Source organism: Homo sapiens, chromosome 11 (genome assembly GCF_000001405.40).
Source record: "Homo sapiens chromosome 11, GRCh38.p14 Primary Assembly".
Taxonomy (NCBI): Eukaryota; Metazoa; Chordata; class Mammalia; order Primates; family Hominidae; genus Homo; species Homo sapiens.
In genome coordinates, this window is record NC_000011.10 from 8,910,739 (window position 1) to 8,935,023 (window position 24,285).

At 49.1% G+C, this 24,285-nt stretch overlaps 3 protein-coding genes across 10 annotated transcripts in view, besides 6 other annotated features; 1 reads left to right on the plus strand and 2 right to left on the minus strand.

Annotated features, from left to right (window-relative positions):
- The window catches only part of DENND2B (DENN domain containing 2B), a 217,600-nt gene extending 217,387 nt beyond the window's left edge, over positions 1–213 (minus strand). The window contains exon 1 of the mRNA NM_005418.4: positions 83–213. The gene's annotated coding sequence lies outside the window, so the exon portion shown is untranslated. The remainder of the gene's footprint in view (positions 1–82) is intronic.
- Positions 216–495: a silencer, noted in NCBI's record as "silent region_3116". NCBI's record gives its function as "represses an Ori minimal core promoter by ATAC-STARR-seq in GM12878 lymphoblastoid cells {active_cell/tissue: GM12878}" and the evidence as "EXISTENCE:reporter gene assay evidence [ECO:0000049][PMID:35858748]".
- On the plus strand, positions 451–9,341 carry AKIP1 (A-kinase interacting protein 1). Of its 8 annotated transcripts, none has more exons than NM_020642.4 (6): positions 451–485; positions 706–933; positions 1,715–1,795; positions 4,088–4,192; positions 6,549–6,629; positions 8,599–9,341. In NM_020642.4, exons 2-6 carry the CDS (start codon positions 712–714, stop codon positions 8,740–8,742), a joined length of 633 nt encoding a protein of 210 aa, NP_065693.2. In that variant the 5' UTR covers positions 451–485; positions 706–711; the 3' UTR covers positions 8,743–9,341. The 8 variants fall into 8 exon arrangements, 6 of the variants coding, with proteins under 6 accessions (NP_065693.2, XP_016873500.1, NP_001193576.1 ...); XM_017018011.2 differs by having other exon boundaries at positions 451–476; NR_045417.2 differs by having other exon boundaries at positions 451–933.
- Positions 586–655: an enhancer, noted in NCBI's record as "active region_4394". NCBI's record gives its function as "activates an Ori minimal core promoter by ATAC-STARR-seq in GM12878 lymphoblastoid cells {active_cell/tissue: GM12878}" and the evidence as "EXISTENCE:reporter gene assay evidence [ECO:0000049][PMID:35858748]".
- Positions 666–755: an enhancer, noted in NCBI's record as "active region_4395". NCBI's record gives its function as "activates an Ori minimal core promoter by ATAC-STARR-seq in GM12878 lymphoblastoid cells {active_cell/tissue: GM12878}" and the evidence as "EXISTENCE:reporter gene assay evidence [ECO:0000049][PMID:35858748]".
- Positions 9,338–22,209, minus strand: C11orf16 (chromosome 11 open reading frame 16). Its single transcript, NM_020643.3, has 7 exons — positions 22,163–22,209; positions 21,404–21,588; positions 18,639–18,795; positions 16,202–16,436; positions 14,725–15,369; positions 10,556–10,777; positions 9,338–9,712 (listed from the first exon to the last, which is right to left on the minus strand). Exons 2-6 carry the CDS (start codon positions 21,568–21,570, stop codon positions 10,578–10,580), a joined length of 1,404 nt encoding a protein of 467 aa, NP_065694.2. The 5' UTR covers positions 21,571–21,588; positions 22,163–22,209; the 3' UTR covers positions 9,338–9,712; positions 10,556–10,577.
- Positions 14,572–15,356: an enhancer, noted in NCBI's record as "H3K4me1 hESC enhancer chr11:8946857-8947641 (GRCh37/hg19 assembly coordinates)". NCBI's record gives its function as "activates a minimal SCP1, AML or CMV promoter by ChIP-STARR-seq in naive and primed H9 embryonic stem cells {active_cell/tissue: H9 hESC(naive and primed)}" and the evidence as "EXISTENCE:reporter gene assay evidence [ECO:0000049][PMID:30033119]".
- Positions 15,357–16,140: an enhancer, noted in NCBI's record as "H3K4me1 hESC enhancer chr11:8947642-8948425 (GRCh37/hg19 assembly coordinates)". NCBI's record gives its function as "activates a minimal SCP1, AML or CMV promoter by ChIP-STARR-seq in naive H9 embryonic stem cells {active_cell/tissue: H9 hESC(naive)}" and the evidence as "EXISTENCE:reporter gene assay evidence [ECO:0000049][PMID:30033119]".
- Positions 21,828–22,666: an enhancer, noted in NCBI's record as "H3K27ac-H3K4me1 hESC enhancer chr11:8954113-8954951 (GRCh37/hg19 assembly coordinates)". NCBI's record gives its function as "activates a minimal SCP1, AML or CMV promoter by ChIP-STARR-seq in naive H9 embryonic stem cells {active_cell/tissue: H9 hESC(naive)}" and the evidence as "EXISTENCE:reporter gene assay evidence [ECO:0000049][PMID:30033119]".

Sequence of the window (24,285 nt, forward strand, 5' to 3'; positions counted from 1 at the left end):
TACACGGGTTCTCGCTATGTTGCCTACCTAGCTGGTACCCCATAATTTTTTAGCTCAACAGGAGACCTGCCTTTATACCCACCAAGTTAAGCAGCGCAGTAGCCCTCTAAGGGCCAGCCCCACGCCCAGAGGCTCCTCTGACAGCGTGGACAGATGCCCTGGGCTGCTGGCTCGACTCAGTCCTCAGCCCCCAGCCCCCGACCCCCGACCCCCGGCCCCCGACCCCCGACCCCCGGCCCCCAGCGCCCGGCGCCCCGCCTCCAGCGCTCAGCAGTTAACCAGGCAACTCGCGCGCAGACGCCAAGGCTGGGACGCAGAAGGCGTGTTTGGCCGCCCAGCCGCCCCGCCTCCCCCACTTCTCCCGCCTCTCCCGCCTCTCCCGCCTTCCGCCAATGGCCCAGCTGCGCCGGCGCCGCCGGGAGCGCTAGGCCTGGTCCCTCTTCCTAGAATAGCGTTGCGCGCATGCGCCTTGACGAGTGAGCCGGGTGAGGGGGCTCCCTAAGTAGCGGAAGGGGTAGATGAAAATGGAAGGGGCGGGCGCGCTAGGCCTAGTCCTGGCTGGGCTCCCGCTGGAGTGTGCGTTGGGGGCGGACCAGGAGCGGTGGTCTCCAGGGAGGTCGAGGCTGGGGCTCCCACCCGGATTTGGAGCAGGGTCGCCGCGGCCCAGCTGACCCGCCGGCGTTTGTACGTTGTGTGCCCACTCAGGGAGCCATGGACAACTGTTTGGCGGCCGCAGCGCTGAATGGGGTGGACCGACGTTCCCTGCAGCGTTCAGCAAGGCTGGCTCTAGAAGTGCTGGAGAGGGCCAAGAGGAGGGCGGTGGACTGGCATGCCCTGGAGCGTCCCAAAGGCTGCATGGGGGTCCTTGCCCGGGAGGCGCCCCACCTAGAGAAACAGCCGGCAGCCGGCCCGCAGCGCGTTCTCCCGGGAGAGGTGAGGGTCGCTGTGCCGGGGGCCGCCCCAGTCCTTCGCGCCGCGGTAGCCCGCTGGGAGCCAGGGGTGCGCAGCGCAGAAGCAGCTGAGGAAACCTTCCCTTAGCGGAAGCTGGAAAGGATCAGAACAATGAATGGAAAAGTCCTTTCAAAACGCTTTACATTTGACAGATTCTTGTTGGGTAGCTGTAGAATAACGGTAGTGTTCAGCCCTGGTTGGTTACTTAAAAAAAAAAAAAAAAATTAGCCGGGCGCGGTGGCTCATGCCTGCAATCCCAGCACTTTGGGAGGCCGAGGCGGGCGGATCACCTGAGGTCGGGAGTTCGAAAGCAGCCTGACCAACATGGAGAAATCCCGTCTCTACTAAAAATACAAAATTAGCCGGGCGTGGTGGCGCATGTCTGTAATCCCAGGTACTAGGGAGGCTGAGGCAGGAGAATCGCTTGAACCCGGGAGGCGGAGGTCGCGGTGAGCCGAGATCGCGCCATTGCACTCCAGCCTGGGCAACAAGAGCGAAACCTCCGTCTCAAAAAAAAAAAAAAAAAAAAAATCTTACAGCTATCATCTGATAGTAGAGGAAAGCCTGCAAGCCTGTCTCTTAGATCCTGGATAAATTGCATGTCTATCTTTTAGAGTTGGAATTCTTTCTCAATAACATCGTTCTTTCTGACATAAACTTGCAGAGCCTTTCCAAAAGTAAAAAGGAGACTATTTCCAAAATGGCTTCATTCTCCAGTAGGGAATCCTAGAGCTAACCTGTGACGTGCCATTTATTCAAATAGAGAGAAGAGAGACCCCCAACCCTTAGTGCTTCCTTCAGAACAATGGCTGAATTCATGGACTATACTTCAAGTCAGTGTGGGGTAAGTTGGTGTGAACCAAAACTATGCCCCATCACCTGCTGATGGACCACATTTGGATCTTTCTGGAATTTACGGAGAATCTGGACACTACCTGTTTCTCCTGCCCAGCCTTCACGGTCAGATTGTAATCAGTCAAGGACTTAAACCAGGGGGTAAATCCAAGTTAGAATTCACCCAATAAATGTTTATTGAATGCCTAACCCTGTAGCTGACAATATAGCAATGAAAAGTCAGAAAAGGTCTTCTGCCCTCAGTGATCTTTCAGTCTAGTGGGGGGAAAATAGCTTATTTGCCGAATTTCATAGCAAATAAGTTAAATATTAGGGGTTTTTTTTAACTTTTTTTTTTTTTTTTTTTTTGAGACAGAGGCTTGCTCTGTGGCACAGGCTGGAGTGCAGTGGTGTGATCTCGGCTCACTGCAAGCTCTCCCTCCTGGGTTCACACCATTCTCCTGCCTCAGCCTCCCTAGTAGCTGGGACTACAGGCGCCCACCACCACGCCCAGCTAATTTTTTTTTTTGTATTTTTAGTAGAGACGGGGTTTCACTGTGTTACCCAGGATGGTCTCCATCTCCTGACCTCGTGATCCGCCCGCCTCAGCCTCCCAAAGTGCTGGGATTACAGGTGTGAGCCACCGTGCCCGACCTTTTTTTTTTTTTTTTAATTGAGACAGAGTCTCACTCCATCACCCAGGCTGGTGTGCAGTGGCTCAGTCTCGGCTCACTGCAACCCCTACCTCCTGGCCTCCTGGTTCAAGCGATTCTCCTGCCTCAGCCTCCCGAGTAGCTGGGACTACAGGCACATGCCACCATGCCTGGCTAATTTTTGTATTTTTAGTAGAGACAGGGCTTCACCATGTTGGCCAGGCTGCTCTGGAACGCCTGACCTCGAGGGATCCGCGCATCTTGGCCTCCCAAAGTGCTGGGATTACAGGCTTGAGCCACCATACCCAGCCAAGTCATCTTTCGATACTTAGGGAATGTTGAGGGCAGGCCAGAAAACATTCAAGGAAATTACCTGCATGGAAGGCACTGTCTTCTAGGAATTACAGCAGGCTCTGGCCTCATGCAGTCTTAACACTTGGTGAGTCCTACATGGTTTTAAGGAGGCTGATCCACAAAGGAGATGGAAGAGAATACCTTGTTTCTGCCCTGCTTTTCAGTTTCATATGTTAAGATCTCAAAAAACTCTAATCTTTCTACATCTTTTATAAGAATCCCTGACTCCAAGAATAGGATTCCAACCAAAGAGGAATACTTCAGGGAATATTTTTATCTTATTTGTGTTGTTCAGTGGTTTTACAAAAATCAATAGCCTCAACTCTACTGTAAAGTGATTAAACCCTTGGTTCATGGTTCAGCAAAAGGAATAATATTTGTCTTTGGTTTGAGGTTTAGCAAATTGCTGTTCTTCATTTTTGTTTTCAGTTCATGCTTCAGTTCAAGTCTCTGTTATGAAATGGAGCCTCAGAACCTCTTGGCTTTCTAGAGATAGAATTAAGAATTGTGTACTGGGTTTGTCTCCACAGTTTGAAGCAGCCACTAAAACACATCTTTAGGTCTGTGTCCTCAAGTGCTTTCCCCAGCTTCTCGTTCTTCTGGTCACATGTTTTTTAGACAGTGTGCCTACCCTGTTCAAAACAAGCAGGGCTGTGATGTCATTAGTCATTATCAAGGGCAAGTCTAAGGCTAACTTTGAGGGGGAGGAAGGAAGCAGACAAGAGAAATGTAACTGTTTTCCGATCTTTCGGAAGATTCTTCTTAAATTAGAGACTTCTCCCTCCACTCCCCCACGCGCAGGAAGCACAGAGAAAAGGGCTGCAGAGCAGCTCTTGGGTTTGTTTCATTTCCTGCTGTGTTTCTAAATCTCAGGAAAATGTACCCCTCTCTTCCCGTGTCCTGGTCTGAGACTTAGACAATAAACATGGAACCGTTCATCCACATTTTTTAGGGGAGGAAATGAAAGGATATGTGCATTGGACATGGGGGCAAAGATGTGAAATTTGTTTAACCTGGCAGAGAGCATGGTCCTGCCCACCTTTAGTTAGCCAGCGTTCTTGCCCTATGGAGGCAGCAGGTGGCAGCACGGGGATGCCAAATGCATTTCTTTCTCTGCAGCCACTTTGGGTGGGCTAAGGTTTGTTGCATGACTTCAGAGGCCTGTCAAGAGGGCAGGTAATTCACCTTTGCTCTCTTGCCTCCCTCCTTAACTGCACTTTGCCCAAATATCAGGGTTTTTTGAAAATTTGACAAGACAATTTGGTTAGCTAACATCTTTGACATTACGTCTCTAGAAATATTATTCATCTGTGCCAGAGGAAGGAGGGGCAACCCATGTCTATCGTTATCACAGAGGCGAGTCGAAGCTGCACATGTGCTTGGACATAGGGAATGGTCAGGTAAGTGTACTCAACTGTCCTGCACCATGCCTTCAGTCTACCAAGATATGACACCCTATATTCAAGAGCCCCTGCTAGACTTTGTGTCACTGGATGCCCGTGTGACTTGGCATTACAGTGCTTAACAGAAATGTGTAAATTCATAGCCTTAGAGAACTTACAGCAATGAACATGAAATAGGAGGTTGTCAAAAATATAAGATTGATGCCACTGTAGGATCTTTAGTTGAACCTGCAGTCCTGGGCCATGGGATTCTCCAGCAGGTTTAAAGAAAAGAGCTTCCAAGCCTGGAATGTGGTGTATGCAATGATCGCCCCTGTGACTATCCCCTGCATTCTATCCTGGGCAACATAGACCCTTTCTCTAATTTTTTTTTAAAAGAGCTCTAAATATCCTCTTCTACATCTAGGGATAGGATTTTTTTTTTCTTTTTTTTTTTTTTTTTTTTTTTGAGACAGGGTCTTACTCTGTCACCCAGGCTAGAGTGCAGTGGAGCAATCATGGCTTACTGCAGCCTTGACTTCCTGGGCAGGTGATCCTCCCACCTGAACCTCCCAAGTAGCTGGGACTACAGGCACATGCCACCACACCCAGCTAATTTTTAATGTTTTTAATAGAGATGGGGTTTTGCTATGTTGCCCAGGCTGGGGGAAAAGATTTTTAATAATTACATTTTTTACTATAAGGTGATAACTGTCATGTCTTTGGTAATTTTTTTTTTTTTTTGAGAGGGAGTCTCACTCTGTCACCCAAGGTGGAGTGCAGTGGTGCGATCGCGGCTCACTGCAACTTCTGCCTCCCAGGTTCAGACAATTCTGCCTCAGCCTCCCAAGTAGCTGGGACTACGTGCACACACCACCAGCCCAGCTAATTTTTGTATTTTTCTTTCTTTTTTTTTTTTTTTTTTTGTGGAGTCACAGTCTTGCTCTGTTGCCCGGGCTGGAGTGCAGTGGCACAATCTCAGCTCACTGCAAGCTCTGCCTCCCTGGTTCACGCCATTCTTCTGCCTCAGCCCCGAGTAGCTGGGACTACAGGCGTTGCCACCACGCCTGGCTAATTTTTTGTATTTTTAGTGGAGACGGGGTTTCGCTGTGTTAGCCAGGATGGTCTCGATCTCCCGACCTCGTGATCCGCCTGCCTCGGCCTCCCAAAGTGCTGGGATTACAGGTGTAACCCACCGCGCCTGACCCATTTTTGTATTTTTTAATAGAGACAGAGTTTCACCGTGTTGGCCAGGCAGGTCTTGAACTCCTGACCTCAGGTGATCTGCCTGCCTCAGCCTCCCAAAGTGCTGAGATTACAGGCGTGAGCCACCATGCCTGGCCCCTGTCTTTCATAATTTTTAAAAAGAAAGTACAAGGGAAGTGTGGGGACGGGGGTCTCTTTTAACAAAATACTTTTTGTAAAGGTAATAACAGTTACGGGCCTCTCACTACAAACTTACCTTTTACCACATGTCATTCTGGGGAAGCCAAAGATTCTGCTTATTGAACTGATTCAAAGGAGGAGGTGGTGGTGGTGGTTTCTGAGGAGACTAGGTTTTTGCTTTTGTTTTAACCTACCCTACTTGTACTCAAAGATAGCAAACTGAAGTCCAGAGTCTATTCCAGAGTCTAAGTTGGATTCCTGACTTCTTTGGTCTGTCAGCCATTTTGGGGTGTTAGAGGGAGGAAGTTTAGGAAAAGGATGGGAGAGTGGGCACAGGGACATGAGCAAGGGCTGAGTGCACACTCGAAGCACCTCCCACATGCCTCCCCTGGCCTGGGAGGTGAGTAGTGGTGCCAGAGCTTGAGTCCTGAGCCCCCTTTTCTGGCCTAGCCTGAACTCTTACCTAAACGCACCTGACCCTAAAGGGTGCACTTAGGTACATGTGGGGAAGAGTCGTTCCCATCTCTCCCTTTAAAATGTAAGTTCCCTCTAAGGGAAATTGGCTTTATCAGTCAGCCTGTTCCCTTCTAGGACCACCCCCACTCCTAGAAGAAGCACAGAAGAGAATGTATTGAGAGCCTAAGTGCCACTTTTGCACTTTAAATTTTCCCTGCAATCCAAGAGTGCCATGTTACAGACTGGAAAACCAAGGTTCAAGAGAAGTTAATCTGTCTTAGTAAATAGCAGAGATAGGACTTAAACTCAGGCGTGGCTGATTCCAAAGCCCATGTAAGGATGAAAATTATAGTAAATACCTGACTAAAAATACCTCACAGAATTCACTTAAAAATGCCTTAATGACTTAGATGACAACTTAGAAAAAGCTGACAGAACAATTACTAACTCCTAATAAGGTAGAAGAGAACTTCTCTTTACAATCCAAAAGTGAAAGCTTGGGCACAAATCAGTGTTCTACTTGTCTCTTCAGAGAAAAGACAGAAAAAAGACATCCCTTGGTCCTGGAGGCAGCTATCAAATATCAGAGCATGCTCCAGAGGCATCCCAGCCTGTGAGTACGGAACTGCTTACGCACTGGGTTTCACCACCGTTGCAACTCCATGAACCAGTTGACATGGTTCTTAGAGGGCTATTTGAATTGAGTCTATAGTATTTTTAAGTTGAGATGTTCTTACACTTAAGAAGGGCACACAAGATTTTGGTTCAGTGTAAAATTAGGTTTTCTTGGTATTCTTCCTTCACTCTAAGCTTCAGGGATACTCTTTGTGCCTGAACTCATAGTTGTGGTTGGAAAGAATGTGAAGTATTCACCTCTCAGTTCCTACAGCTCAGCTGGGCTGGCACTGGGTCCTGCTGGAATTCCACCATCTGTTCAAGCAGCAGGAGGGGCACGATCCTCCTGCTAACAAAGTGAAAACCATTGCTGAAATTCCGAAACATACACATTTGGTGAGATCAGGTTCCAAAACATTTGAAGGCATTTGTTCTTATTTTCCACAAATGTTTCTCTGTAAAAACATATAATGAGTTTTTCATTTTTAGGATAAAGTACTCATTAGGTCATGAAGCCAGGGGATCCTTTTTGGAACTTGGAAGGGCTAGAATTCTGAGGAAAGGAACTTCATTCAGCATGGTGCCGCAATACATTTACTTTTTGTTTGTATACGGTTTGCTACGAGTCAGGATTTGGAGTATACTAGAGTTAGTGACAATTAAGAATATTCTGCTTCTAGTACAAATATAAGTTGTTAAGGCTTAGACGCCTCTCAACACTTGCTGACTTTTGGTAATGCTGATGTTCCACCGTGTTGGAGTTCTACAGCCACATGCCAACCTTACCTCTATGTTTCCTTGTGTGCAAATGAAGCATCCTTGGCTTTCTGCAATTCTGATATAACCATATTTTCTAAAAGTGACTTTTATTTACATGGTTGACAACCAATAAATAGTTAATGACATTGTCATACACATTTACGTCAGTTAAAGGATGGTAGACTTCCAATTTCGCAGTAACTGGACAGGCATGAAAGAATACAACATAAAACAGCTTTGGAAAAAATTGGCTTCAAATCCATCTGCAAGGTAGGAGGAAGAGGGGAAATTTCATAAAAATGTAAACATGATCATTTATTCCTCTGAGTGCAATTTGCTGGCCAGTAGTTTGGCTTTTCCTGTGTGTGGTAGTGGAATCGACAACTTCTGCCTATGGCCCCTTCTCAGCATTAAGCAAGCTTGTAATGGCATCCCAGGTGTCACTCTGGCCCTTAATTACAGGCTCTCTTCTGGTTTGTGACTTTGTCCTTTTACCATTTGAACTGAGACCCATCCTCTGCCTGCACACCTGATGTAATCTACCAGCCATGAGTGAAGTCTACCCTTGGAAGACTGATTGTGCTCAGTTCGGCTCTAAATAAAATCTTTCCATTAACTCTGGCTTCCAGTGTTTTGTACTCTGGGAGAACCAGTCCTCCAAGGGAGAGTTTTGTCAGCCAGCTGAATTGCTGCTTCAGTGACAAAATGGAATTCACTCAAATTGTTCTGAGCTTTAGGACAAAAGAAATGCCTGTCATCTTCCTGATAGTGAACTTAGCAAAGCACCGTTTAAAAGAATGGCTCTCATCACTCCCGAGTACCTTGTCATTACTGCTCATCTGTGCTAAGTGCCACTGTCTACTTCTGATCCCCAAAACAGTGGCCTCTAGCCTTTCCTTCTGCCTAACTCCAAGTAGAGTGTTCTTTTTATAATCCTTCATGTTCATATAACACTTTAGCATTTACAGAGTGTTTTCACATGCTTATTTGTGAGGTATTATCACAGTGCTAGAAATAAGGAAAGGCTGAGACCTACCAAAATGACAGTGTTGTACGTGAGCAGGCTGAGCCTTGAAAGCAGGACCTCTGTCTCCCACATTAGCGCTTCATTCCATCACACCTCTGCAAGGACAGGTAGCCTGCTGGGGGGCCATGGTGGCACTGGGGTATAAAATCTCTAAACTGCTAATATCCTCTTTTCCTTCTAGGCTGAGAACATCTCTAAGGACCTCTACATAGAAGTATATCCAGGGACCTATTCTGTCACTGTGGGCTCAAATGACTTAACCAAGAAGACTCATGTGGTAGCAGTTGATTCTGGACAAAGCGTGGACCTGGTCTTCCCTGTGTGATGTTGACCATCACTGCCATCACATCACCTTTTTTTAAGTAGTAAGAATAAAGCCACTGTATGATTCTCTTAATAGCTATACATTAATCCTGTTTTTAGTGCTGACTGGGTCAGCCTTCCGGGAACTGGAGTCTGTCTCTTTCAGTGCTTTTTTGTTTGTTTGGTTGGTTTTTTTTTGAGACAGTCTCACTCTGTTGCCCAGGCTGGAGTGCAGTGGCGTGATCTCGGCTCACTGCAAGTTCCGCCTCCCGGGTTCACACCATTCTCCTGCCTCAGCCTCCCGAGTAGCTGGCACTACAGGCACCCGCCACCATGCCCGGCTATTTTTTTTGTATTTTTAGTAGAGACGGGGTTTCACCATGTTGGCCAGGATGGTCTCGATCTCTTGACCTCGTGATCCACCCACCTTGGCCTCCCAAAGTGTTGGGATTACAGGCGTGAGCCACCGCGCCCGGCCTCAGTGCCTTTTTTAACTTGAGGGTGTAGAGGTCCTCCACGCTTGTTTGCCTGAAAGTAATATAATGATGCTGTCTGAACAGGTTTTACTGCTTGCTTTCCAAGTAAAGGTTAATTATGATAATAAAGAGATTTGGAAATGAAGAGAATTCATTTTTATTAAGAGGTGAAACAAAATGTCACTCATGTACAACTAGGCTTTATGGGAAGGTGGCAGAGTGGCTGTGGACACATTTGCCCAAAGCAGGCTGACCCCCTCTTCCACGGAAGAGGCATCTTAAAGCAGTTTCACCAGGGCCCTGGCAGGGAGCCCCAGGGCAGGATCCCACATTCCTATAGCCCTCACAACAGGTGCCTTCCTGCTGCTTATCTGCAGGGAGGTCTTCGTGGGGTGGAGATACTGGTGGTTATTTGACTGTTACCTGTGGCCTGTCCTCTGCCTCCTTCCGTTGAAGAAGGCCTTGTCAGCCACTCTGTATAACTCTCCTCGAATATTTACCATGTTTATTCTTTACCTATAAAAGGGGGAAAAATTCCATACATTGTTATGCTGACTGCAATTTTAAGAATCAAAAGTCACTGATTTTAAAAAGTCATTGATTGTGGCCGAGTGCGGTGGCTCATACCTGTAATCCCAACATTTTGGGAAACCAAGGCAGGAAGATCACTTGAGCCTAGTAATCAAGACCAGCCTGGTCAACACAGTGAGACCCTATCTCTACAAAAAGTAAAAAATTTAGTCAGGTGTGGTGGCATGTGCCTAGCTACTCAGGTCCTAGCTACTCAGGAGGCTCAGGTGGGCGGCTCACTTGAGCCCAGGAGTTCAAGGCTGTAGTGAGCCATGATTATGCCACTGCATTCCAGCCTGAGTGACAGAGTGAGATCCTGTCTCAGAAAAAAAAGTCATTGCTGTGTCCCAAATGTCTTGAAGCTGCCACAGCAGAACTGTGACATCTCCCAGTTTCGTTGCCTGGTGATTCTCTCATTTTGAACACAAACCTTTCCTTGGGAAAGGTGCCAGTATTTTATATAATGGAAATAAAGTTTAAGTAGGGCTATATTATCATTCTTAGTGAGGAATAGACTCCATATTCAGAGGGCCTAATAAAGCAGACCCCTACCCAATACCATAGAACAGAGGGTCATTTAAACGGGGATCCTTGCACCCCCAAGAAGCCTGTGATTAAATTCATGGGTTCCATAAGCCTTCTGAAATTACATGCAAAATTGAGGGTATGTGCATTTTTCTAGGACAAGGGGTCATAGGTTTTACTGTTCTCAAAGGGGATGTGACCCAAAAGGTCTAAGACCCATGTGAGGAGTCCTTAGGAAGCCCCTTTCCAGCCATTCTGCTTTACCTAGATCCTCAGGGCTCTTAGTCTAACGGGAATTCTTGTTCCACTGACATATTGCAAGGCTCTGACTCCGCTTTCTGTGTTCAGCTTCCCCTGGCGGGGTCCGCGGTGGCTTCATGTGGGTTGCTTTCGAGACCAGCTCCTTGGTAGTCCCCACTACTGCAGTTTGTGCTCTCTGCTGTTTGTGATCCTTTTCTTCTTTGCAGATGTTGGAATATCTTGTTCCTAAACCCAAAAGTCAATTACTTAGGTTGAATATGCCACCATTTTGATGGCATAAGTAGAACTAAAACAAGGATCACTGAAGTATCTGTAAGCTCAAGCATTGTTTTCTTTTCATTTATTATGTATTTGAGACAGGGTCTTGCTATTATCACCCAGGCTGGAATGCAGTGGCATGATCATAGCTCACTGCAGCCTCAGCCACCCGGGCTCAAGTCATCCTCCCACCTGCCACCCGCTCTTCACTACAGCCCCCAGTAGCTGGGACCACAGGCGCACACCACCATGCTCAGCTAATTGTTTAGTTTTTTGTAGAAACGGTCTCACTATGTTGCCCAGGCTGGTCTTGAACTCCTGGGCTCAAGAGATCCTCCAGCCTCAGCCTCCCAAAGTGTTGCAGTTACAGGTATAAGCCACTACACCTGGCCTGTTTTCTTTTGCCATCATGCAATGTGTCCATGTAATGTTTTCTATTTTTAGAGAAAAAAATTGTTATCATTTCTGGACCTTATGCTTTTGGGAAACATTACCTGATACCCAAGATTTGGAGTTGTGAAGAAGTTATTGGATGTGTCTTCTAAACTGCCAGTAGGGCAAGCAAAGGTAACTGACTGCCACCAGTTAAAGGAGCTTCGACACCTTCACTGATCACTGATAACACAGACCACAAAGAAGAGATTACAAGCTGATAGAAAACAAATATTAAGAAATTGAACTGGGTGCATTGGTGCACACCTGTAGTCCCGACTATTTGGGAGGCTGAGGTGGGAGGATTGCTTGAGCCCAGGAGTTTGAGGCTGCAGTGAGCTATGATCGTGCCACTGCCCACCAGCCTGGGTGACATAGTGAGACCCTGTCTCTAAAAATAAAAAAAAAATTGGGGCAAAACAAAAATAATGGGAGATGTGACTTCCTGAGGAATAGACCAATCTAAAAGGGAAGGAATGCTTTTTACGTTTCTTTTAAAACTACAGATTGAATCCTGTTTCAGTCAAAGGAGGCAGAAAGTACCTCCCTGCCAGCAGCTCACAATCTGGCCTCCCTAGGACTATTAGGATCTAATTGGAACCTCTCACTGCCTGTAACTGAAAGTAAGGGAAAGTGTGGAGGACAGAGAAACCTATGCAAGAGCTTTTGTGAGAGGCAAAGCTCAAAATTGAGTGTCAAGCATCAGCACTCGACAGAACGGATATCAAGTCCTGATAGCAAGAACTGATTAAACATCAAGCATGTTTAGGAGAAGCAAAACAGCACATTTCCTTTAAAAGATACAAAACCTGGAGGGGAGAAAAGCAAAGCTCTGGTGTTTGCCTTGTTTCAGCCCTGACCCTGGTTTTCTGTGCTTCTCTTCACTAGTGAGCAGGTAGTCCCACACATGTGGTGAGGGCGGGGGATGGCCATGTCTCCACACCCCCTCTCGGGCATGCTCTCCATATATTTGGGAACATACTGATGATGCTCATGGGTCAGCCCCAGGAACTTTCCCTAGAGCATAACACAAGATCCAGTATTTAACAGGAAAGCCCGGCCAAGTACCTGAAGATACTATAGTTATCTTCTTTATAGTCAATTAATAGAATTTATTTCAGGGGAGAAAATAACTTTGGAGTGGATCTCTTTAAATGTGGTGATGGAGAGAGACTGTAGGTGTAAGTGGCTTTGGGCAGTAGCAGTAAGAGCTGTGTAAACTTAGGGCCAGGGGAAATTTGTTTGGACTTAATCAGGTTTGGAACCCTTCTAGAGTTTGCTATGGAGCAAGTCACAGCAATGGGAACACAGACGTGGTATCTAGGGTATGTCTGGCCTCCATGGCCCCTCTGGTTGTCCCTCTCCCCTATGCTGGGCTTGGCACTGTCTCAGTTGCTCCCCACAGACCCCTCTCTGTTGGGTAGGTACAGCTCTTCTTTCTCCAAGCTGTGCTGGAGCAAGAGGCATTGGGAGCTATGGAGAATTTAGCATGAAAACTCTAGAGTTCGGTGCCATCTTCTTTATGCCCTCTCTACAAGTGATAATATAAAGAAAATGGTGCCAAACTCTAGAGTTTTCATGCTAAATTCTCCATAACTTCATTTCTTTCGAATGGAGAAAGAAACCGGCATTTCTTTCTTTTCTTTTTTTTTATTTTTGCAGACAGAGTCTCGCTGTGTCGCCCAGGCTGGAGTGTAGTGGCTTACCCTGCCTCCCAGCTTCAACTGATTCTCATACCTCAGCCTCCCAACTAGCTGGGATTACAGACGTGCATCACAATGCCTGGCTAATTTTTGTATTTTTAGTAGAGACGGGGTTTCACTTTGTTGGTCAGGCTGGTCTCAAACCCCTGACCTCAAGTGATCCACCCCCCACCCCCACCCCCCGGCCTCCCAAAGTGCTGGGTGAGCCACTGTGCCCAGCGAAATCGCCACTTCTGAGTGGCTGCTGCCAAGGCTTGCCATTGCAAGATTGGAGTAACCCATTTCACAGAAGCCCAGGACCCACCTCCCCATTTTATGTTTTCAATACAAAGTTTCCTCCTGGAGAGTGGAGGAAGAGCACAGCTGGGCCTATGAGAGATAGGGGAAAAATCCTCATATAAAATCCAAGTGCAGCAGACACACTCCTCCCCACCCCTCCCAAAGCCCAGGGGTTCAGAGGAGTCACCAGGAAAGCTTCTCATTACAAACAATTTCTCAACTTCCTGGAACTGAACACTAATAAAATCCTTACCCTTGGGGCAAGATTTAAATCTTCATTGGTGCCAGCTTGGTGGTTCACGCCTGTAATCCCAGCACTTTGGGAGGCCGAGGCAGGCAGATCACTTAGGCCAGGGGTTCGAGACCTGCCTGGCCAACATGGCAAAACCCCATCTCCACTAAAAATACAAAAAGTTAGCCAGGCATGGTGGCATGCACCTATAATCCCAGCTACTGGGGAGGCTGAGGCATGAGAATCACTCGAACCTGGGAGGCAGAGGTTGCAGTGAGCCAAAATCATGCCACTGCACTCCAGCCTGGGCAACAGAGTGAGACTCTTTGTCTCAAAACAACAACAACAACAACAACAACAAAAACCCTCATGGGCTGAGCAGTCCTTCTGGCTCAGTGGCTGTCCTAGAAATAGGGCTATGGTTTCAACCAGGGACCCCCAGTGGGTCCCAGTGTGGGCAGTGCCTAGAGATCTAAGCCCTTAGCAGTGGTGTTCCTTCACCTCACAGCCTCCCTGCCCCAGATACGTTCAGTGACCCCAGGACTCCCAGAATCTTGTCAAGGGCCAGACTTTTCCAGGCCACCTCCTTCACACAGCTCTGACAGGCTTCTGCTCTTTCCAGACTCCGTTGGGAATTTAGATAGGATGGGCTCCCCGAACCTAGCAGGGCCCGCCACACAGTTCTCAGCTGGAGGCGATGCAGTGTGGGGCTGGCTGCAGACTGCCAGCAGCAACAGGACACGGCTTCCCTGTTGGCCATGAGGGATAAGAAGCACATCGCAGTGCCCGGGTCCTCCCCGCTCACTTACTGAGGGAACCAGCAGGAGAGTGGGGCCTCACGACCAATGCTCAAGACCAGTTTCTATGCTTCAGTGCATCAACTCTGATCAACACCTGGAGGCATTTGGACTGTTCATCTAGAGAAAAACCAAGGCCTCCAAGAAAAAAGGAGGAGACTAAAAACAGACAATGGCAGTGCTCTATCAGTAGAGACTAGTGAAGAAAGAAAAAGGCAGGTATTAAATAGGGATGCAACCTTAGCACAAAGATCAGTTCATCCTTCTGCTCCTTTGGGCCTCATAGCTGAAATGGAAACCTGCTATTTCCCTCTTGCCACAGCCTCCTCTTCAGCATGACCAGACTCCCAAGGATTACTGCAGTCCCAACAGAGTGGACACGTGCATCAAATTCCTAAGGGACATGTGGGAGGGAAGGGAGGCGGGGCCCCAGCCCCTGCCTTAGAAAGCAAGCCCACTCCCCTGGTATACCTGGCTTCCCAAGGCATGGCTCAGGCCCGTTTCTCTTCCAATACCTCCACTCAGGCTGGCAGAGGCCACTCTGTCTCAGAGGCATCTCAAGAAAGATGGGATCTGTGTTGACTGCACTGTTCACCATCAGTCTCTGGGGAGGGCCCATCTCCAGATCATTCTCCACACCGTCTTGTTCACAGGAGGAGGATGAGGAGGAAGAAACAGCCAGGGGAGCGTGCATTGCTACTTTCTCCTCTTTAGGACCTTCCAGGGGCAAAAGCTGTGCTGTGGGCTCCAACTCTGGAAGTTCTCTGGCCATGACTTCTGAGGTCCTGGTTAGAGGCCACCAAGTCGTGCCACATGGCGGGCAGCCACAGAGGCAGCCCTGGCACAGTAGCTGGCAGCAGGCATGATGGTGGCAGAGAGGGCACAGGAATGGAGCATCCGGAGGAAGCTCATTAGTGATGCGCCCAGTGATTGGCCCTAGCAGAGAGCAGCAAGGGGCCCAGTGAAGGGGCCTGGGGTGCTCCCTGGTGAAAGACTTGTGCAGCCTCTCCACAGCCTTCTTCCAGATGGTCAGGGACACCGACTGGACCCCACCTAGGGGCACTTTAGCAGCTTTGCCATTCCAGAAATGAACAGTGATTTCTTTTTCCTTTGATGCTACATAACAAAAAATGGCAACATTTTGTTATAATTACCAATTATCTCCTTTTTTTTCTTTTTTCTTTTTTTCTTTTCTTTTTTTTTTTTTTTTTTTGAGACAGGGTCTGGCTCAGGCTGGAGTGCAGTGGCACAGTGATAGCTCACTGCAGCCTCAACCTCCCAGGCTCAAGCCATCCTCCTGCCTCAGCCTCCGAAGTAGCTTCCACGTCCTAATCATGGGATAAAGCCTCTCCTACCCACACAGGCAAAGGCAGAGCTTCAGCCTGGCCCCGCTGCTCTGGCTGCGTGGCTCCTCACATGCACCTCTCCGTGGAGAGCCTGCCAGGAACATCCTTCACCTGCACCATAGTTACCTCCACTTCCCAAGGACTTGCCTGAGCCTCCCTGCCTCCTGGACTACAGTGGCCTGCAGGGGCTCACTTTTCTTGTCAAAACCAAAATGCATTCTCAGTAGAAGCCTCATTCTGTCATTCTCTGAATTACAATGGTGCTGACTGACCCTGCAGAAGAGGACTGTCTGGTCCCTGGAGGACCTGGTGAGGGCTGGGTTGTGAGTAGCTAAACCATGGTTTAGCTAACCAACATAGATATGAGAGTTTTAGGCCATTTACCCTGATTACAATTTTTTTTTTAATAATCTGAAAGATACACTGTGCATCTTGAGGCATCTGTTGCTGCCCTCAAGATTAAGCAGCAAGCAAGGGGGAAAAATTCTCTTCTTAATGCCTTAGAAACCCCTAAGCTGTAGACGCAGCCTTGGCTCTCTCCTCTGGCCTGATTACAGCCTGGCTCCTTCTGGGCACTGATGGGTCAGAGCAGCTTCTCTTACCTCTCTGGGGATCTCTCATCTCCAAGCCCAAAAGAACAGTGCCAGGGCCATACTGCTGTTGGCCTGGCTCCCAGAGTGCCAGCACCTTATCCCCTGGTCTCAGTGAGTATCCTACAGATGGTGAGAGAGGAATGACATCCTCTTCTAAGACCACTCTCTGCTGCTGGGCTGGCAGCTTTGGGCCTGCGACAAGAGGAGCCTCGAATTCCACAAGCAGGACCCCCTGTCTCTCCAGCTGTGGGAAAGAAAACACTCAGAATAAGACCTGGCATTACAAAGTACAATAGGGAGCACCCAGGTTCCCTACGATGCCCCCCAAATCAGGCCCAGGGGCTGCCTTCCAAACAGTGACAGGCACCTAAAGAAGGGACAGGGCAGATGCTGCTTCAAGCCAGTCAAAGCCAAGACAGGCAGGCTGTGTGGCACGGTTGTGCTCCCCTGAATCTCTTCCTGCCTCGGGCAACTCTTGTGGATCACTTCCTGCCTCTGCCTTTCCATTCCCTTCCTTTGCCTGGTTTTCTTTCCTCCTACCAAATTTTTGACCTGCAATTGCCAGGAGTTACCTGGGTCCTCCCTGGACCTTTTCTCAATGCAATCTCCTCCTTCCAGCACCCCCAAGAAGCGTCGCTCCTGTGTCCAAGACCAACCAGGGATGTGTCCAAGACCAACAGGATGGTTGTTCACCTATGAGGCTCATGTAGGCAAGGAGCGATTGTGGCCACAGAGCTGCCCTCAGCACTGCCCTTGCAGTCAACGAGGAAAGGGTTAGCTAAGCAAATGAATAGCAAAAGTGAGAGAACAGTGCTGCAGCTACTTAAAAGTACAAGCTGTTTCAAGTACTCTGTGATTTAGAAGAGAAATAAACTCTGGTTATAAATTATTTTTACCAAATCACTGGACAGAACCTATATTTGAGCAAAGCTTTGCTAGAATTTCATTTTAATTCACATATTAGTTACTTGAAAATTGACTTTTTTTTGTTTTTTCCAGACGGAGTTTCGCTCGTCACCCAGGCTAGAGTGCAATGGCGTGATCTTGGTTCACTGCAACCTCTGCCTCCTGGGTTCAAGCGATTCTCCTGTCTCAGGTTCCCGAGCAGCTGGGACTACAGGAGCCCACCACCTGGCTCAGCTAATTTTTGTATATTTAGTAGAGACGGGGTGTCACCACGTTGGCCAGGCTGGTCTCGAATTTCTGATCTCAGGTAACCCACCCTTCTTGGTTTCCCAAAGTGCTGTTATTACAGGTGTGAGCAACCGCACCTGGCCAAAAACTGACTTTTGATTGGAAATTCTGAAATTCATATTTTTAAAGAATTTACACTAGTCTTCCCTTCATGAATCTACATTCACAAAGTAAGTCTGACTCTGAAAAAAAGAAAAAAAAAAGAAGTGAGTAGCCACTGAAGTACAGGCCAGGCCTGGCCCCCAGCATGGCGAGAGTGTGCTTCTCTGTACCAGCACACACCCATGCATGTGAGCAAACATATCTCGTTCCACCTTTCCCTTAGGCTAGTGTTCATTCAACACACTGAATTTTCCGCAACAAAGTACTTTTAAAGTACACTTTCTTCTCTGTTATGCATTGAATTGTGTCCCGTTACCCACCTCCACCCTCCTCCCACAGGCTGGAGTGCAATGATGCCATCAGTTTGGGGCTCAAGTGATCTTCCTGCCTGAGCCTCCCAAGTAGCTGCGACTACAGCCATGTGCCACCATGCCTGGCTCATTTTTAAATTTTTTGTAGAGACAGGGTCTCACTGTGTTGCCCAGGCTGGTCTTGAACTCCTGGCCTCAAGCAATCCTCCCACCACCACCTCTCAAAGTGCTGGGATTACAGGCATGAGCCAACATGCCTTGCCCCCTGCCAAATTCATATGTTGAAGTCCTAGCCCCCAGAATGTGACCTTATTTGTGGATAGGGGCATTGCAAATGTAATTAAGATGAGGACTGAATATGGCAGGTCCCTAATCCAGTGTGATTGATGTCCTTATAAAGGGGGAAATGTGGGCAGACACACACTCAGGGAGAAAGCCCCATAAAGGTAAAGGCAGAGATCAAGGCGATGCCTCTATAAGCTGAGGAACACCAAAGCCTGCCAGCAAGCCATGAGAAGCCAGAAGCAGGGCATGGGAATGATTCTTCTTCATAGCTCTCAGAAGGAACCAACCTTGCCAACCCCTGGACTTCCAGCCTCCAGAAATGGGAGATGACACATTTCTGTGGTTTAAGCCACTCCGTTTGTTGCACTTTGTTAGGGAGCCCTAGCAAACTAATACACTCAATGGTATTACATGTTCACTTCTACAACATGGCCATGGGAGAGCTGTGCTTATGCAAGAAACCAGCCTGCTAGATGTACACAGCTAAGGCATGTCAGGTATGACAAGGCCACCCAGAGGAGCACGCCAGGGAGATACTGGGGTCAGGGACTTGCCTCGGGAGTGGCCTTTATTTGGGCCCGGTAGTAAAAACCATCTGCTTCCCTTCTTGCTAGGACCCATGTGTTGGCAGCATCTCCAGCTCTTCCCAGCCAGCCAGGCCCCTGCCATGCTGGGTCGGCAACGTGGAGACATGGGCAAGAAGAGGCATGCCTGGAAAAAAGCAAATGGAATTAGTGGATAGAGAGCAACAAGCCCTAAACACATCAAGAAACACGTTTCGCAGGTACATCTGAGGTACACCACAGCACATGAGGCATGCGGAACAGAAATCCATATGGAAAGTGGCAATCTATGACTTCCGGAAGGATAAGGTAAACCTCCGGGAGGGGCAGAAGGAGAGGACAGTGAAGGGAACCATCCTTGGTGGATTGGGAGTTGGTTCAAGGCAACCAAAATGTAATTCGCCTTGATACATTCAAGTTAATTGATGCTTGTTCCTACACTAGACAACAGACTGGAAAAGTGTGGCTCAAGCCTGTAATCCCAGCACTTTGGGAGGCCGATGTGGATGGATCACTTGAGCTCAGAAATTCAAGACCAGCCTGGGCAACATGGTGAAATCCCATCTCTACCAAAAATACAAAAAATTAGCTGGGTGTGGTGGTGTGAGCCTGTGATCCCAGCTACTTGGGAGGCTGAGATAGGAGGATTGCTTGAATCTGGGAGGTAGAGGTTGCAGTGGGCTGAAATGACACTACTGCACTCCAGCCTGGGTGACAAGGTGAGACCCCTATCAAAAAAAAGAAAAGAAAAGAGTGCCAGGGGCCGGGAGCAGTGGCTCACACCTGTAATCCCAGCACTTTGGGAGGCCGAGATGGGCGGATCACGAGGTCAAGAGATCGAGACTATCTGGACAACACGGTGAAACCCCACCTCTACTAAAAATACAAAAATTAGGTGGGCGTGGTGGTGGGTGCCTGTAGTCTCAGCTACTCAGGAGGCTGAGGCAGAAGAATCGCTTGAACCCAGGAGGCGGAGGTTGCAGTGAGCCAAGATTGCGCCACTGTACTCCAGCCTGGTGACAGAGCGAGACTCTGTCTCAAAAAAAAAAAAAAAAAAAAAAAAAAGTGCCAGGTAGGTCAATCCTAAGGCGGCGTGTGGGATTCCAGGATGAGGCGTGGAAGCTTGGATAGTAATGCCGAGGGTGTGAAATTGTAATGCCACTTGATGCTGTGGGGTCAGAGGGATGAGGAAGTGTTTGGGCAGGGACAACCCAGAGGAGCTAAGGGGCTGTGGGACAGAAAAAGGAGATGCTAGTTCCAGAAAATGTTGTGGTCAGGGCCAGTTGGCCTAGGGGAGTTGTTGAGTCAGGGTTTGGGTTTTTGAAGAAGCCATTTTACTTTGTGGGCAAGGCTGAATGCAAAGGGGGCCTGTCTGCCTCCTGCTGCCATCAACATGCCGTCACTGCACCCAGGCTGTTCGTGCTGAGGAGCTCCTGCAGACCCATGCTGAGCTGCCCTCAGCCCCCCTCAGCCTCCTTCCTGTGCTTGTTGGCATCTAAAGTCCCATGCTTAACTCTAGCCTTGAACAGGATGGTCCACCGGGTGGATCACGAAAGGGAGCCATTAAGGATCTTTCAAGCTGGCATGTCCCTAATGTGGGCAGAATGGATCAGGCAGCAGGAATGCGAGTCCCTGGAGATGACACGCTCCACATGTGTATATAGGGCTGTGGTGCCTTTGGCCTCTTGTATCCACGCTTTAGAAAGCAGACTGAGGATCCTATTCAGGAAAATCCTGGACAAAGGAGGGGTACCGAGGGAACCTGAAGAGGGACCTGGAGACCCCACATTAGCTGATTTCTCATATGGTGGCTGAGCAAGTCTCTTTTTTTTTTTTTTTGGTTTTGTTTTGTTTTTGAGACAGAGTCTCACTCTGTTCCCTAGGCTCGAGCGCAGTGGCGCTGTCTCGGCTCACTGCAACCTCTGCCTCCCGAGTTCAAGCAATTTTCCTGCCTCAGCCTCCTGAGTAGCTGGGAATACAGGCATGTGCCACCACGCCCAGCTAATTATTGTTTTTTCTTTGAGACAGAGTCTCACTCTGTCACCCAGGCTGGAGTGCAATGGTGCGATCTCGGCTCACTGCAACCTTTCCACCTTCCGAGTTCAAGCAATTCTCTGCCTCATCCTCCTGAGTAGCTGGGATTACAGTCACCCGCCACCATGCCTGGCTAATTTTTATATTTTTAGTAGAGACGGGGTTTCACCATCTTGGCCACGCTGGTCTCGAACTCCTGACCTTGGGTGAACCACCTGCCTTGGCCTCCCAAAGTGCTGGGATTACAGGCATGAGCCACCATGCCCAGCCAATTTTTTGTGTGTTTTTAGTAGATGGGGTTTTGCCATGTTGGTCAGACTGGACTCGAACTCCTGACCTCAAGTGATCTGCTTGCCTCGGCCTTCCAAAGTGCTGGGATTGTATACAGGTGTGAGCCACTGCGCCCAGCCAAGTCTCAGCATTGATGGTAAAATGAGCTATAAACTTGGTAACTGGCTATCCCTAACTGCCTTCTCTTACTCATGCCAACTGCAGCATCTGCAACTCTGCTAAAGCCAGATCAACCCTGGAGGGCTCTGGGAGCACAATGTAGGCTGGAGTGACAGACCCCACACAGATATGCCAATCATAGGCCAAACAATGACGACCCCTTTCCACCTTCTCAGGAAGCAAGTCTGTCCACCAAGGTCTACCACCAACAGCCAAGAACAAAGGAAAAAGAAAAGGGCATCCACTTCCCCCAGAGGGGCAGAGACAGGTACCTTGCAAGGGGCTTGTGCCCGGTGAGCCAGGGTGCTTGGAGGGCAAAGGGGTAGGTGAAGGAGAGGTCCCAAGGTGGAGCAGCACCGTCCCAGCCAGGGGCCTTCAGGCTTGTGGCCACGCTGCAGTATTTGAGCAAAGGCATCCTGGGCCCCGTGGAGGATTCCATGGCCTTCAGAGGATCCACCTGAGAATAGGCACCACCATTACCTGAGCTGCAGCTTGAAGCAAGCAGTGGCCACCGGGGCGAGGCAGGGCTCAGCTCTGCAGTTAGCTGCCTCTGGGGACAGTTGAGTCCATGCACGGCCCTACCTGCTCCCACAAACTCTCACAGTTTCCTCTTTGAGTCACCTGCCTTGGGAACCTCCACTCAGGAAACAGGGAAGGGATTGGAAGAGCAAGTGCTGTGAGTTTAGAGCAGCCCAGCTTTAAATCCTCCCCTACAGCCTGCTGGCTGTGTGCTCACTTAACCTCTGCTCTCCAGTTACACTCAGGATAGAATACATGGAAAGCACCTGGCGTATTCAGCAGCTCAACTTATGTTAGTATTTTTCCTCCTTCCTCCTCCCCGGCCACCTACAAGGCTAGTTCTGGCCTCAGGCAAGCTGAGATCTCAGGGCCGTCCATCCCCTTTCCAGCCCTGTTCAGAGGAGACAGCTGCCACCAGGGCCCAAGATCAAGCCGCACTGCTGCAGCCCACCAGAGCCCCGTGAGGGTCTGCCCCTGCCCAAGTCCACAGGTCTGACCCCACAAGGACTTACCCACAGCCCCAAACTCCCAGCCTCCACCTCAGCCTCAGGCTCCTTCTGACAGTTGGGGCTCAGGGTCTCAGCCCAACCGACTCCTGGTTGCCACGCCGGTTACCATGGGTGCAGCCTGGGGACGCTGTCGTCTGTGGCCAGTGAGTGCACCGAGCATGCGGAGAGGGGGACAGGAGGCCTTGGGAGGTAGGGGTGGGGCAGGAAGTGATGGGGGAGGGGGTGTTCTCCAGGTTTCCCTTTGGAGAGAAGAGGAGGAGGAAGAAGGGAAAAAGGCCAGTGTAGCCTCAGTTCTCCAAAGCTCAGGCTGCTCCACTGCTGGAAGAGTCAGTGGTGGTGGGAAGCCCTCACGGATCCCAGGAGACTCCTGTGAGGGAGGAGCCACCTCCGCAGAAACTGAGGGCGTCCTCCCTGTACACACTAGAGGCAGGAATGGGGGAGCCACTGGCGGCCTGGGGACTCTAGGATAGAATTTGTCCCTAGTCTAAACCAAAATAACCAAAGGTGTGGGCCTGTTTGTCTATAACAGGCAGGACTCTGTTGAGGAGCAGAGGTGTTGTGACCATTTGGAGTGAGAGGTGTGGACACTGGCAACAAAGGAACAGAAGTCCAGATTCTGCTTGTGGGAGGGGCTCGTATTTGGAGGCCTCTGCCAGTCACTGTGCACTGGTTATATGCCTGGTATGCAGGCACGTTTGGATGTGTCTCCCCCACATTCATACCCCGCTTCTACCAGGTCCTGTTTCAGTTGGCAGATCCATGTGGATAGGGAGGCCAAAGTACCCACCTCCAGGGGTAGAGTGGGTGTCAGTCACCCCTTCCATCCCCGTCTGGCCCCAGGGGTTGGTCAGGCAGTGGCGTGTTCCTGAACCTCTCCAATCAGCAGGAATCTGGAGACTTTGGTTGGGAATCCTGGGATATAGGCTTTCTCTTTCTTCCTATGCCTGAATAAGAAAGCTGATAGTTCTGAGAGCCTCTGACAGCCTTTTGGGAACACTGAAGCTATTCCCAGAGAAAGAGAGGATAGACCTCAGGAAATAGAGGGTTGGTTGGTTTGTTTGTTTTGAGACAGGGTTGCCCAGGCTGGCCTCAAACTCCTGGGCTCAAGGGATGCTTTTGCCTCAGTCTTCCAAGGAGCTCGGACTACAGCCATGCACCCCAACGCCCAGCTGAAAATAGGTTCTCGGTGACAGTACTGAGTCCTGCCTGCAGGCAGTGCTGCTACTCTAGGCCTCAGCTCTGTGAGCCAATAATTCCCCTTATTGATTATGCCACTCTGGATTGGGCTGTTTCTTACTTGCAACCAAAAGCCTCTTAACTGATGACTGCCCTCCCGAAGCATCACTTCATAGTCAGGAGAATGACTGCTGCCCAGGACCGTATACCAAGGCGGAGTTATTTGGCACACAGAGAGTCTAAGAAAGACCCATGGCCGGGCGCGGTGGCTCATGCCTGTAATCCCAGCACTTGGGAGGCCAAGGCAGGTGGATCACGAGGTCAGGAGATCGAGACCATCCTGGCTAACACAGTGAAACCCCGTCTCTACTAAAAATACAAAAAATTAGCTGGGCATGGTGGCACACGCCTGTAATCCCAGCTACTCGGGAGGCTGAGGCAGGAGAATCGCTTGAACCAGGGAGTCAGAGGTTGCAGTGAGCCGAGGTCGCGCCACTGCACTCCAGCCTGGGTGACAAAGAAAGACTCTGTCTCAAAAAATAAAAAATAAATTAAAAAATACCCGTGAAGTCTCTGGCAGTGAAAGAATGATTCTTGAATGAGACAGTGGGATTTCAGTGGAGGAGGGGAAAAGGAGAATATTCTAGTTTAGGTAGGAAGTAAGAGAGAAGAGAGAAGGATACATTTGCGAGACTGTGATTTTCTGTTTGGGGGAAATGGGTTCAGCACATGCAAAATCACATTGAACTTGCTTAGGAGTCACATTAAAGCAGACTCACATCAGAGTGTGGGTGTGAGAGTAATCCTGCTTATAGATTACAGAGGCATCATCGCTAATCCCATCAGATGTTATCTTACATATAGGAAAAGGCCAAAACTCGGGTCATTTATCTTTTAAGGAATGTAGTGACTCAGGCAGGAGATGACGGGGTGGAGGAGGGAGAGGGGCG